General features: G+C 44.4%; 1 protein-coding gene across 1 annotated transcript in view, besides 2 other annotated features; it reads right to left on the bottom strand.

The window, feature by feature from the left end:
* MGMT (O-6-methylguanine-DNA methyltransferase) overlaps positions 1–13,806 on the bottom strand; it is a 303,743-nt gene that overhangs the window by 18,840 nt on the left and 271,097 nt on the right. The gene's annotated exons all lie outside the window — the stretch shown is intronic.
* Positions 7,018–7,517: an enhancer, noted in NCBI's record as "H3K4me1 hESC enhancer chr10:131542891-131543390 (GRCh37/hg19 assembly coordinates)". NCBI's record gives its function as "activates a minimal SCP1, AML or CMV promoter by ChIP-STARR-seq in naive H9 embryonic stem cells {active_cell/tissue: H9 hESC(naive)}" and the evidence as "EXISTENCE:reporter gene assay evidence [ECO:0000049][PMID:30033119]".
* Positions 7,518–8,019: an enhancer, noted in NCBI's record as "H3K4me1 hESC enhancer chr10:131542389-131542890 (GRCh37/hg19 assembly coordinates)". NCBI's record gives its function as "activates a minimal SCP1, AML or CMV promoter by ChIP-STARR-seq in naive H9 embryonic stem cells {active_cell/tissue: H9 hESC(naive)}" and the evidence as "EXISTENCE:reporter gene assay evidence [ECO:0000049][PMID:30033119]".

Genomic DNA, 13,806 nt, shown 5'->3' with positions numbered 1-13,806 from the left:
AAGGAAAATTAGACAAATCTAGAATTATATGTGGAGACCTAAACACCTCTTTCTCAATAATCAATAGAACTAGGTGACAGAAAATCAGCAAAGATACACAAATAAAAAATATTATCAACCGATTGGATTTAATGGATATTTACAGAACACTCCACCCAATAACAGTAGAATCTATACTCTTTTCAAGTGTGCATAAAACATTGACAAAGATATGCCATATTCTTCTGGGCCATAAACCTTAACACATGCAAAATGACTGCAATCATATAAGTTACATCCTCTGATCATAATGGAATTAGACTAGAAATCGACAAAAACCATAATAGAAAATTCTCCAAACATTTGAACAGTAAACATATCACTTCTAAATAATCAATAGGTCAAAGAGAAAGTCTGAAGGAAAATTAAAAGAGTATACTGAACAGAATGAAACTGAAAATAAAGCATATTAAAATTTATGGGACAAAGCTAAAACAATATTTAGAGGAAAATTTATAGTATTAAGTGTCTATATTAAAAAAGAAAGGTCTCAATAATCTAAACTTCCAACTTAAGAAACCAGAAAAAGAAGAGAAAAATAAACTCAAAACAACCAGAAAGGAAATAATAAAGGCAAAGGCGAAAATCAACAAAATTGAAAACAGACAAATGATAAGAGTAAAATCCAAGAAATTAAAAATGAGTTCCATGAAATGATCAATAAAATTTATAAATCTCTAAAAGACTGACAGAAAAGAAGAAACAAATAATCAATATCAGGAATAAAAGAGAAGATATTGCCACAGATCCCACAGATATTAAAGAGATAATAAGGTATTCCTACAAATAACTGTGTACTAAAATCCAACAACTGCGAATAGACCAATGCATCAAAAACTACAAACTACCAAACTTATCCAAGATGAAACTGAATACTCCTATAATTATTAAAGAAGTTGAATTCATAGCTTACAATCTTCTGAAAAAGAAACCTCTAGGGCCAAGATGGTTTTACCAGTGAATTCTATAAAATGTTTTAAAAATAAGATTGATTTGACATAATTTTTTCCAGAGAAAGGAACATTTTCTAAAGTGTTTTATGAGACCAGCATTACTCCACCATCAAAACCAGAAAAAGTCAGAAACCAAAAGAGTACAGTTCAGTATCTCTTATGAACACAGGGTAAAAATCCTCAACAAAATATTGGCAAATCAAATCCAGCAATATATAAAAAGAACAAGACATCAAAATTAAGTGGGGTTTGTCCCAGGAAAGCAAGGCTGATTCAATATTTGAAAATAAATCTACATTATGAAACTACAGTAATCAAGACAGGGTGGCATTGGTAAAAGAACAGACACAAAGGTCAATGAAACAGGCACACACAGATATACAGTCATTCCTTGGTATCCATTGGGTATTGGTTCCAGGACCCTTCTAGAATACCAAAATCCATGGATGCTTAAGTTCCTGATATAAAATGGCATAGTATTTGCATATAACCCTTGCACATCCTCCTGTAGACTTTAAATCATTTCTAGATTACTTAGGATATCTAGAATAATGTAAATGCTATGTAAATAGCTGTTATACTGTATTGTTGAGAGGATAATGACAAGGAGAAAAAGTCTGTACGCTTTCAGTAAAGATGCAACCATTCTTTCCTTGTTGTTGAACATTTTTTATCTGCAGTTGGTTGAATACATGGATGTGGAACCCATAAATACAAGGGCCAAATTTAGACTTTGACAAAGATCTTTGACAAAAAAAAGCAAAAAGCAATTCAATGGAGAAAGCATAGTCTTTTAAACAAATGGCCCTGGAACAATTAGACATCACACGAAAAAGAAGTGAATCCAGATACAGACTTTATACCTTTCTCAAAAATGAACTCAAAATGGATCATGGACCTAAATCTAAAAGGGAAAATCATAAACTTTCAGAATATAACACAGGAGAAAATCTAAGCAACCTTAGGTTGGGAGAAGAGTTTTTAGATACAACATGATTCATGAAAGAAAAAAATGAATAAGCTGGAGTTTATTAAAATTAAAAACTTCTTTACTACAAAAGATGCTGAGACTCTGAAAACGAGAGGCAGACTAGGAGAAGATATATGTAAGACACATATCTGAAAAAAGACTTGCATCTAAAATATATTATAAAAAGACTCTTAAAATTCAACAAGAAAAAAGTCAAACAACCCAATTAAAAAATGGGCAAGTCTTAACAGACACTTCACCAAAGAATATATATAGGTGACAAATAAGCACAAGGAAAGATATTTAACATAATTTGTCTTTAGGAGCTGCACACTAAAATAATGAATATGATTACAATGGCTTTTAGAATGGCTAAAAATCCAAACAGTGACAGTACCAAAAACTGCTGGCAAGGATGTGGAGCAAAAAGGATGCTTAATCATTGCTGATGGGAATGCAAAATGGTAAAGCCACTTTGGAAGACTGTTTTGCAATTTCTTTCAAAGACAGAGCCTTACCATGTGATCTGGCAATTGCACACCTAGGTATTTACTCTACTGATTTGAAAACTGACATCCTCACAAAAACCTGCCTGTGAATGTTTATAGCAGCTTTATTAACACTGCCAAAAGTTGTAAGTGACCAAAATGTTGTTCGATAGGTGAACGGATAAACAACTATGGTACATCCATACAATGGAATATTATTCAGTGAAAAAAATGAGCTATGCAGAAGACACGGAGAAAACTAAATGTATATTGCTAAGCAAAGGAAGCCAGCCGAAAAGGCTACATACTGTATGATCCCAACTAGATGACATTCTGGAAGAAGCAAAACTATATAGACAGAAAAAAGATAAGTGGTTGCCGGGGCACTTTCAGAAGGAGCGGGGGACTGAATAGGTGGAGCACAGGGGGATTTTTAGGGTGTAAAATTATTCTGCATGTTACTGTAATGGTGAAAACATGATATCATACATCTATCAAAGGCCATAGAAGCTTACAGCACAAAGAGTGAATCTAAGCAATGTATGTAAATTAACAACAACAAAATATTTAGGAGATCAGGGGATCCTGGGAAGAAACACAGACTGTGACAAGAGAATCTGACTGTATTATAAACTTATAAAACGTCCTCACTGAATGGGGGAGGGGAGCTGATTTCTCCAAAAGTAACTTGAAAGTGAGTGGAGTCTGTAAGACTAAAGGCAAAAGGAACTGTACATAAATACTGAACTCTAGTTGATAAAGTTGTTTCCCATGAGCACAGGTGTTAAACTCTCTGATACTATTCTATATGTATACTGGGCTTGAATAATTAAGTAAATGGATGGCAGAAAGTGTGAGCCAGGTTTCTCATTGTGAGTGGGATTTTACAGATAAGTAAGGAGAGGAGGCTAGAAGAATCCATGTGGTAATGGATTAGAGTTGCAGATATCAATAGGAACTAATGTTTAGCTTAATATAGACACAGATAATTGCATACAGAAATGTTTACAATATTTATCTGTCCGTGGGTTAGTATACAGAAAGCTACTTCTGTGGTCTGTCAACTGAGAAGACTTAGAAACAACACCACCCCCATAGCAAGGAGCAAACCTAGTGCCCAGTCCATGGTTTCTCATGCATTTTATAATAAAAGACACAAGACTCCTTCAAGAACTGGCCTTTTCCTCCCTAGGACTGGGACAGGAAATACACAAGATGAGCCTTGAGAATCTTGCAGTATCAGAAAGTCAGGACACACTCCAAAATGAAATGAAGCAAAAGAACAAAGACAAACATTCCAGTCAAACCACGATGAGGAGAGTACGACAAAGGGACACAGGAGCAAACTGCACAATCTCCCAAATGGCCAAAACTGGGATAATCTCAGCAACAAAATAAAGTAGTATTGGAAGACAACCCAAAATATCAATATCCCTGAGTCCATACTAACATAAAAAAATGACTGAATACAGAAATAGGTGAGGGAGAAGAACTCTCCCATGCAGAAGCATTCCCAGTAACTTATGTAGATACTCTGTCTTCAAGGAGCGTAACTCCCCATTCCTAAGTGTGTTAGGTACAGCAACTTCTTCGGGACGAGTGCAGTACGCAGGGGAGATGGGGGAAGGTAACTTTATCATAGAGTCACCTGACAAACACCACTACCCAGCCAGGTAATCAAAGTTGACATCAACAATGATAAATGACACTGACAGCATGACTCCTTGATACGATCTCAGGAAAATGACAGCTTACCTATGTGGTTTTTCTCCTCACACACTGTAACTCCAGTCAAATCATGAGAAAAGCATAAAACATTCCAAAAGAGGAACATTCTACAAAATAGTTAATCAGTACTCCTTAACACTGTCTAGGCCATCTAAAACTAAGGACCTGTCACAGCCAAGAGGGGCCAAAGGAGCTAGGAATGCAGTATCCAAGGCAGGATCCTGGAATGGAAGAAGGGCAGTAGGTAAAAACTAAGAAAACTTCAAGATCATAGGACTTTAGTTAATATTAAGGTACCAACAATGGTTCATGAATCATAACACATGTACCGTACTAATGTAAGATGTCAAGTGTAAATGTCATCATAATAAGAATCAATGGTATAATTTGGGAAAATAGGTGTGCAGTATCAGAGAACCCTACTGATTTTTCAATTTTTCTGTAAATCCGAAACTATTCTAAAAACAAAGGCTATTAAAAACGAACAATAGCTATCATATTAATATCCTAGAAAAACACATAATCTATATCCAGTCAGAAAAAATATTTAATACAATTTAACACCTATTCATGATAAAAGCTCTCAGCAACCTAAGAACAGAAGGTAACATCCTCAATCTGACAACTGTATCTGCAAAAAACCCACAGTTAACATCATACCTAACTGTGCAAAAAAAGCAAGATGAGGAAATAGAAGACAATTGTTTTAGAAAAGAAGAAACAAACTCTCCCTATTTGCAGACAACATAATTGTCTATGGGAAAATACCCAGGAAATAATAGAAAAGTCTTAGAACTAATAAGTGAGTTTAGCAAAGTCACTAGATACAAGGTTACTAAATAAAAATCAATCACCTTTCTATATACCACTGATAATGGCTCCAACCAAATAAAATACTTAGATGTAAATCTAACAATTTGTATATAGGCTCTGTTTGTTGGAAATTACAAAATGCTGAAAAAGTAATCACAAGAATGTCTGAATAACTGAGGAGACATATCATGTTCATGGAAATCTCAATATCATAAAATTTGAATTCTAACAAACTGACCTATAGGTTTATTATCATTCCAATTAAAAAACCCTAGAAGAATTTATTGCAGATAGACATGTTGACTCTAAAATTTAGATGAAAGGGCAAAGGATTGAGACTAGCCAACATATTTTACAAGAGACAAAAAAGGTTAGAGAAATCACACTGACAGGTTTCAAGACTTACTATACATAATAATAATTATGTATTTGCAAAGGGATAAATACCCAGCTTGTTGGAGTATTGATGGAGTTACTGGATGGAGTTAACAGAATAGAAGAGAGATTTCCAAAATAGACCTACTGAAGCACGACCAAATGTTTATTGACAAAGGTGCAAAGGGATTTCAATGAAGAAAGCATATTATTTTCAAAAAGAGGTGCTGGAAAATTGGATATCCATAGGCAAATAGTGAAACGTGATGTAAATCTCATGACTTACTTAAACAAATTAACTCAAAATATATCATAGATTTAAATGTAAAACATTAAACTAAAAAAAAAAAGAAACTATATGACAAATCTTCATGACCTGGGGTTAGGCAAACAGTTGTTAGATATGTCCTTCAAATCATGATAAAAAAAAGAGAGAGATAAATTGAACTTCATTAAAAAGGGAAAAAAAACTTGTTTGTGAAAAAGTTTGGTCTATGAAAGTCAGGTGTTTTTTTTTGTTTGTTTTTTTTTTTTTTTTTGAGACAGAGTCTCGCTCTGTCCCCTAGGCTGGAGCAAAGTGGTGCGATCTCGGCTCACTGCAAGCTCTGCCTCCCGGGTTCACGCCATTCTCCTGCTTCAGCCTCCTGAGTAGCTGGGACTACAGGCGCCTGCCACCACGCCTGGCTAATTTTTTTTGTATTTTTTTAGTAGAGACAGGGTTTCACTGTGTCAGCCAGGATGCAGTCGATCTCCTGACCTCATGATCCGCCCCCTTGGCCTCCCAAAGTGCTGGGATTACAGGCATGAGCTTCCGCACCCGGCTGAAAGTCAGTGTTAAGAGAATAAAAGACTAGCTACTACTAGCTAGGAGAAAATATTTGGAAATAAGAAATCCAACAAGAGTCCTATCCTATCCAGAATATATAAAGATTTTTCCAAACTCAACAGTTCCAAACTGAAACTCAACAAACCACCTAACTTAAAAAAAAGGCAAAAGACTTGAATTGACACTTCCCCAAAGAGGATATAAGGAGGGGTCAATAACCACAAAAGAAGATGTTCAACATAACTGGCCATCGGGGAAACGCAAATGAAAACAATGAGATATCATTACATATCTATTAGAATGGCCAAAATAAAAAACAGATCAATGGAGATATACCCACACGGTAGCGTACACTCAGCAAGAAAAATGAATAAGCTGTAGATACATGCAACAACTTGGATGAATCTCAAAGGCATTAACCTGAGTGAAAAAAGCCAGGCTCCAAAGGTTAAATACTGTCTGATTCCATTTATAAGACATTCTCAAAAACACAAAGCCACGGTGTTGGAGAACACGTCGCAGTTGCTGAGAGCTGGAATGGGGGTGGGGAGAGGCCGTGGCTGCCAGGGGGCGGCGTGGGGGTGTCCAGGTGGTGGAACTCCTCTGCACCCTGATTTTGGGGGTGGTTACAGAAACACACACACGCGTTAACATTCACGGGACTGTATACCCCACAAAAAGCCAATTTCACTACATGTTAATTTAAAAAATAAATTAACAAAAAGATGAGGGAAAACACATTTCCAAGTTACCTTCTCTTTAATCAAAGGGAGTTTTCTCCCCAAAGTTCAAGACACTAGGGACCAGTATTTCCTATTTAAAAGGGAATCTAGGTCACATTTTCTGCAAAATCTTTCCCTCTACGAGGCCCCACCACCTGCCATGCTCTCACAGAAGGCTGTCACCACGGAGGGCTCCTCCACCAGACTCACGGAGGACCAGGCACCTACCTCCCGGGGCTCTATCCCAACACTCAGCACTGTGGATGACCTAGAGTAGACATACAGTAAGCGCCTACTGGGTGAAGCAAGGTGGGTGGTGTCAGCATGGAGCCTGGGGACCATCCTTTCCTGGGAGGCTGGAAGACAGTGAAGGGCAGCATCTTCTGTAAACACAACCAGGGCCTACAGATCCCCACCCGGCATCTACTTCAACCTGGCCAAGAGGAACCTGATAAACCTTGCGCACACGGCTGGCGATGTGGCGGGCCAGGAGCTCCTGTGGTCTGTGGTCCCTGTGGAGGCGCACACTGAGAGTGAGCGGGAGGAGGTGCCTGCAGCCCCACTGGCTGGCTCTCCGTGGCACGCAGGAAAGCCATAGGGCCTGTGTGGCCCAGGCCTCTGCAGGCAGCCTTTGCCAGGCCTGTGAGGGCTCAGGCTCAGGTCAGGCATGGGGTTCACAGCAGGGGGAAGGTGCTGCTAGCTGCTTTAGTATGGTCCCTGGAGGAGGTGCGCCCAGCTTCACGGTGCTTGGCCAGCCAGTGGGTGACCTGCAGAAGGAACAGCCCCTGACATCTGGCTTGTGGCTTGCTCACTCCGAAGGCAGGGACACGATGTCACACACTTTCCATGGGACTGGGCTACCAGGTTAGTTTGGACGTGCTCTGTATGCCATGGAGCTCATAGCCAGCTTGTGCACAGCTGCCCAGGCATGGAGGTGGCCTGGCGCACACCCACAGCAGCCCCGTCCAATGCCTTGTGTAGAGACTCAGCAGTGGGGTTCTCTGGGCTTGCCAGGAGCCAGACTGAGTCCCAGCGCTCACTGACCCCTAAGCAAGACTCCCCTGGGCCTGGACAACCTGGCCTCTAGAAGGACAGGACACCACCACTGCCTGGTTTTTGGAATGTCTTTGGGGCAAGCTTTCAAACACGTACTTGAGGCTGAACAAGCACAGGCTTTCCTCCTACCCAGCCAGATGCTGTTTTATTCATCATGGAAGCAGAGGCTGTCCTCCTCTGTCCTCACCAGGTCATCCCATCCCAGCCAGGCATGGCCAGCATGAGCGCTGCGGGGCCTCCACAAATAAAAACAAATACACTGAGGATGGCCCTCCAAAGCTCCAGAGTCAAGCCCAACTGGCCTGGCTGCTTCCGCCATTAGGATGACCATCTGTAGCCAGTCTGGACACAATCTCTTCTTTCCATACGCCTTACACACTATTATATATACGCATATGACACAGCGGCTATGGAATACAATGTGGTTTAAGTGAAAACAATGGCATTTGTTTCAGCATGTCAGCTGTGACCTCTATGACCCCACAGGGAAGAAGGAAGCAGCTAACATGGAAGAAGACAGTCTCCCCAAAGGTCCAGGAGTGCACCCAACCAACACACTACGTGAATTAAATGCACGCACTTGCACTTGAGGGTGCCAGACTGGGGCATGGAGGGAATGAGTGTGCGGACAATGGGCAGGGACAGACTGAGTTGGTGAAACACAGACACCTCTGTCAGAACTGTGGGCCGGTGAGGCCACGATGCCACCAACCAACGCACTGATGCACCTCTGTCCACTGACAGCTGCTGCACCCAACAGGGTCGGCCAACGGAGGGCCACAGAGGACATCTCTGTCTCCTGAAAACGGATGCGTGACAGCACCTGTGGATGAACAAAGCCCCAACTCAACGTGGGTTTCCAACAAGCTATGAGATATGCTGCAAAAAATGGTGGCGTTCGCCGGCAAGCACCAGTGGAACCCTCCTGAGTGAGGTGATGGCGAACGAGGTGCCAGAGTGGAAGTGACAGGTGGGCCTGGGTCTTGGATGGGTAGCAGTTTGCTGGGTAGAGATAAAGCGGGTATTCCAGATAGATCAGTAACGACCCGCCCCGCTCCACCCAACAGCCCACCATATACCACCCACATAGCGGCCAAGGGGAAATTAGGGAAGACAGTGATTAGGTGGTAGGATTTCAGAGGCTCTTGAATCCAGGCATGGCTCCGTTTTTTTATCGTTTACCACCTCTTTGAAGGCTAAGCATCAAGTTGCCATCTTCCGGCCCTGATGACCTGGCTCTGAGCATGGGCAGCTGCGGTGGTGGGGCAGTGCTGAATGCCCCGGCCCTGAAGACCTGGCTCTGAGCATGGGCCACTGCAGTCGTGCGGCACTGCTGAACGCCCCGGCCCTGAGAACCTGGCTCTGAGCATGGGCCGTTGCAGTTGTGAGGCACTGCTGAATGCCCCGGCCCTGATGACCTGGCTCTGAGCATGGGCTGCTATGGTAGTGGGGCACTGCTGAACGCCCCAGCCCTGAGGACCTGGCTCTGAGCATGGGCCGCTGCAGCCGTGGGGCACTGCTGAATGCCCCGGCCCTGATGACCTGGCTCTGAGCATGGGCTGCTGTGGTAGTGGGGCACTGCTGAACGCCCCAGCCCTGAGGACCTGGCTCTGAGCATGGGCCGCTGCAGCCGTGGGGCACTGCTGAATGCCCTGGCCCTGATGACCTGGCTCTGAGCATGGGCTGCTATGGTAGTGGGGCACTGCTGAATGCCCCGGCCCTGAGGACCTGGCTCTGAGCATGGGCTGCTGCGGTCCTGGGGCACTGCTGAACGCCCCGGGTCGCGCACCGAGGTGGGACTCCATCCCAGTGCTCCTTCCAGCCCTACGCATGGTGTGAAGTCATTTTCCTGCGGATGGTAGAGTTACTGGAGATCATAGGCTAAGGGTGAATTCATGACCTCTGGCCCAATAACTTTTAAGAAAAAAGGGAGTTTCTGGCTCCTCCCACACAAGGACCTGCCCCACCCAGTAGGCACATGACCTCCCCAGACAGAACACTGAGAGCAAGTCCTGACACAGAGGTGCAGCTCAGCGCTCGAGCCAACGATGGGAGGATGCCACACTGGGCAGGTGCCTGGCCATCAGTCCCTTAAGTCCTGCTCTAGCATTTTGGGAGCCAATTTCTACTTCCCCAATCATTATCCTTCCCCCAAAGTCTCCCCAGAGCCCCTCAGTGAGCCCTGACAACCACTTTGCAAAGCTGGCGTTGCAACTCCCATTTAGAAAGGAGCACTAGGCTCAGAGCCACGGCCTGACCTGGCTGATGGGGGCTCCGAGCCTCACTGATGCTCTCTCAGGCCTGGACGGTGGGCCCAGGCACCCAAATGCTGACACAGGCTTTGGGTCATCTCTGTCTGGAGCCAGCCCAGCTTCTGCAGCTCTGCTCTGGATGAGTCTCAACCGACTCAGGGCCCAGGCACTGGCCACCTCTGGGAAACGGGATGCATGAGAAAGCTGAGTGGTGGAAAGCAGCCTTGGTGGTGTGAGTGTGATGGTGACCCCACTCGAAATATCAGTCCCTCCTCGAACACAGTGGTAATGGTAAGCTGGGAAGAAAACCGCCTCCCTCTCCCCAAAATGGAGACACTGATGTCTACACCTCAGAGACTCTCGTATAAACATCAAGGCCGACCACACAGCACTCACCACCTCCACCATGGGTCAGGTTCTTGGTGCGAGGGCCACATGCAGTCCTGGCGAACCTCCCAGCCTCCTTTCCCATGCAGGGGAGCCCTCAGGGATGGGCTGCACGCCTCGCACCACACGCGTGGCCACTCAACTGCAGGTTCAGCTTGCTGGCAAGGCCAACAGCAGCCTCCCGGGTGTTGCCGTTCAATGTAACCTTTTAGGGAGAGTTAACATTTTTCAAAAATACAGGGCTTCTTCAGATGGGACCTACTGGGCCAACTGATAAGGCTTCAGCTCAAGTAGACACGGCCTGTTATTTTGTGGACTCAACTCACCTGGGTCCAAAACTATTTCTGCTGTGACCAGGGCTGGGGAGGCTGACTTTCAGACCACTTTTCAAAAGTCAAATCTGTTCTTGGGGAAGAAAGTTTGCCAAAACAGAGCATTCCAGAGTGCCCGCCATGGTCCTTGGTACCCAGTGGCCAGCCAATAAGCGTGGAAAGCTGTACGTGGTGCAAGGGCCAAAGGCATCCAACAGACGCTCCTCAGAAAATGCAAGTTTGAGCAACGTTAGGGAAACGGGTAGGGGCACTCATTTGAAGATGGTAACGTAGGTCTGGAAATTTTGGTAGCTGGGCTTAAAATGCAATTATCACAGTAAGTGCCAAGACTTACTGAGTGCTTACTAGGTACCAGGCTCGGTTCAGTGTGCTTTCTCCTGTTCAGTCCTCAAGGTCCCCCATCATCCACTCTGCAGGTGAGAAGTCTCCCAGGCCCAGACGGCAGCCTATCCAAGGTCGCCCTGGGGGCCTGCAGGTGGGGCCAGCGCTCTCCTGAAAGCCTCTCTGCAGGCATCCCATGCCTGCTGCTGTCCCTGAGAGCTCACCACAAAATGTCCACAGCTGAGCTACTTCCTAGAACGCTGTCCTGTCGCCCCTCCGTTTCCTCCTGGTAAAATGAGGTTCCCACAACAGTAAGTGCCATCTGAGGGTAAATGAGCTCACCTGTGTGAAAGGTGCTTTGTATGTGGAAAGGACAGTGCAGATTTTAAGGACTGATTTTCTATCCCTTGACTCTCCCGTCCCCCTTCGTAAGGCATTCTTAACTACATGGTAGTTGGTAAGAGGACATGAGTCCTTAGAAGACCTTCTTGCTCTCCCTGGTTTCCTGGGGGCCTCTTCCCATCTCCTGTAGTGCTACCCCCAGATGGCCTCTCTCAGGCTTTAAAAACACCGGACCTCAGCAGCTGTGGCTCCACAGGCCCAGGCACCCAGGGCCCATGTGATATACTCCAGGCAGGGCAAGGGGGCTGATGGCATCCTGGGGTCAATGAGAGCCCACTTGGAGCACCTGATGCATGTTAGCCTCAGAAACAAGCACCCTTTCCCGGACCCCGACTTCTAACTCCACACTCAAGCTCTTTGCTCCCTGCAGACTGATTCTTGGCTCTGCTAACGAGAAAATACACAACGTTTTAAACATCTTTAGATTTCCCTTTAATGACTGTTGATTAAAACAGGCCAGGTGGAAGGAAGTGCCTCTGAGGCAGAGCCCATCCTGGGCCCCCAGTGGCCACACGACCTTACATTTCCAACCTGTCCACTGTGGGGACAGGATGTAGGGCCTCTGACCTGGATCTGATCTGACCAAGGTGTAGGGCAGGGGTGTCTAATCTTTTGGCTTCCCTGAGCCATACTGGAAGAATTGTCTTAGGCCACATATAAAATAACTAACACTAATGATAGCTGAGGAGTTAAAAAAAATCATAAAAAAACTCATAATGTGTTAAGAAAGTTTATGAATTTATGTTGGGCCACATTCAAAGCTATCCTGGGCTGCAGGTGGCTCGCAGGCTGAGGATTGGACAAGCTTGGTATAGGGGTTCTGACCTGGTTCTGATCTGACTGTGGTGTAGGGGAGTTCTGACCTGGTTCTGATCTGACCAGGGCGTAGGGGCTCTGACCTGGTTCTGATTTGGCTGATGCTCGTCCCAGTGTTAGAGGCAGGTCAACAGAGATGCACAAAGCAGACACTGATGGACAAGCACAGCACGTGCACCTCCTGCTGCACACCAAGAAGAGTGAACTCTGCTGTAATTTTTTCGAAAATAAAAAAGAGGAGATTTTGGGCTGAGACAATGGGGTTTTCTAAATATAGAATCATGTCATCTGCAAACAGAGACAACTGACTTCCTCTTTTCCTAATTGAATACCCTTTATTTCTTTCTCTTGCCTGATTGCCCTAGCCAGAACTTCCAGCAGTATGTTGAACAGGAGTGGTGAGAGACTGCATCCTTGTCTTGTGCCGATTTTCAAAGTGAATGTTTCCAGTTTTGCCCATTCAGTATGATATTGGCTGTGGGTTTGTCATAAATAGCTCTTATTATTTGAGATACGTTCCGTCAATACCTAGTTTACTGAGAGTTTTTAGCATGAAGCGCTGCTGAATTTTGTTGAAGGCCTTTTCTGCATCTATTGAGATAATCATATGGTTTTTGTCTTTGGTTCTGTTTACGTGATGGAACATGTTTATTGATTTGTGTATGTTGAACCAGCCTTGGATCCCAGGGATGAAGCCGACTTGATGGTGGTGGATAAACTTTTTGATGTGCTGCTGGATTCGGTTTGCCAGCATTTTATTGAAGATTTTCACATCAATGTTCATCAGGGATATTGGCCTAAAATTCTCTTTTTTTGTTGTGTCTCTGCCAGCCTTTGGTATTAGGATGATGCTGGCCTCATAAAATGAGTTAGTGAGGATTCCCTCTTTTTCTATTCATTGGAATAGTTTCAGAAGGAATGGTACCAGCTCTTCTTTGTACCTCTGGTAGAATTCAGCTGTGAATCATGCTACTATAAAGACACATGCACATGTATGTTTACTGCGGCACTATTCACAATAGCAAAGACTTGGAACCAACCCAAATGCCCATCAATGATGTGGATTAAGAAAATGTGGCACATGGGGAGGAGCCAAGATGGCCGAATAGGAACAGCTCTGGTCTACAGCTCCCAGTGTGAGCGACGCAGAAGATGGGTGATTTCTGCATTTCCATCTGAGGTACCGGATTCATCTCACTAGGGAGTGCCAGACAGTGGGCGCAGGTCAGTGGGTGCGTGCACCGTGCGCGAGCCAAAGCAGGGCGAGGCATTGCCTCACTCCGGAAGCGCAAGGGGTCAGGGAGTTCCCTTTCCTAGTCAAAGAAA

The sequence above is a fragment of the Homo sapiens genome, chromosome 10 (genome assembly GCF_000001405.40).
Source record: "Homo sapiens chromosome 10, GRCh38.p14 Primary Assembly".
Classification (NCBI taxonomy): Eukaryota; Metazoa; Chordata; class Mammalia; order Primates; family Hominidae; genus Homo; species Homo sapiens.
Note: the sequence above shows the minus strand (reverse complement) of the source record. Positions and strands in the feature narration are given on the sequence as shown.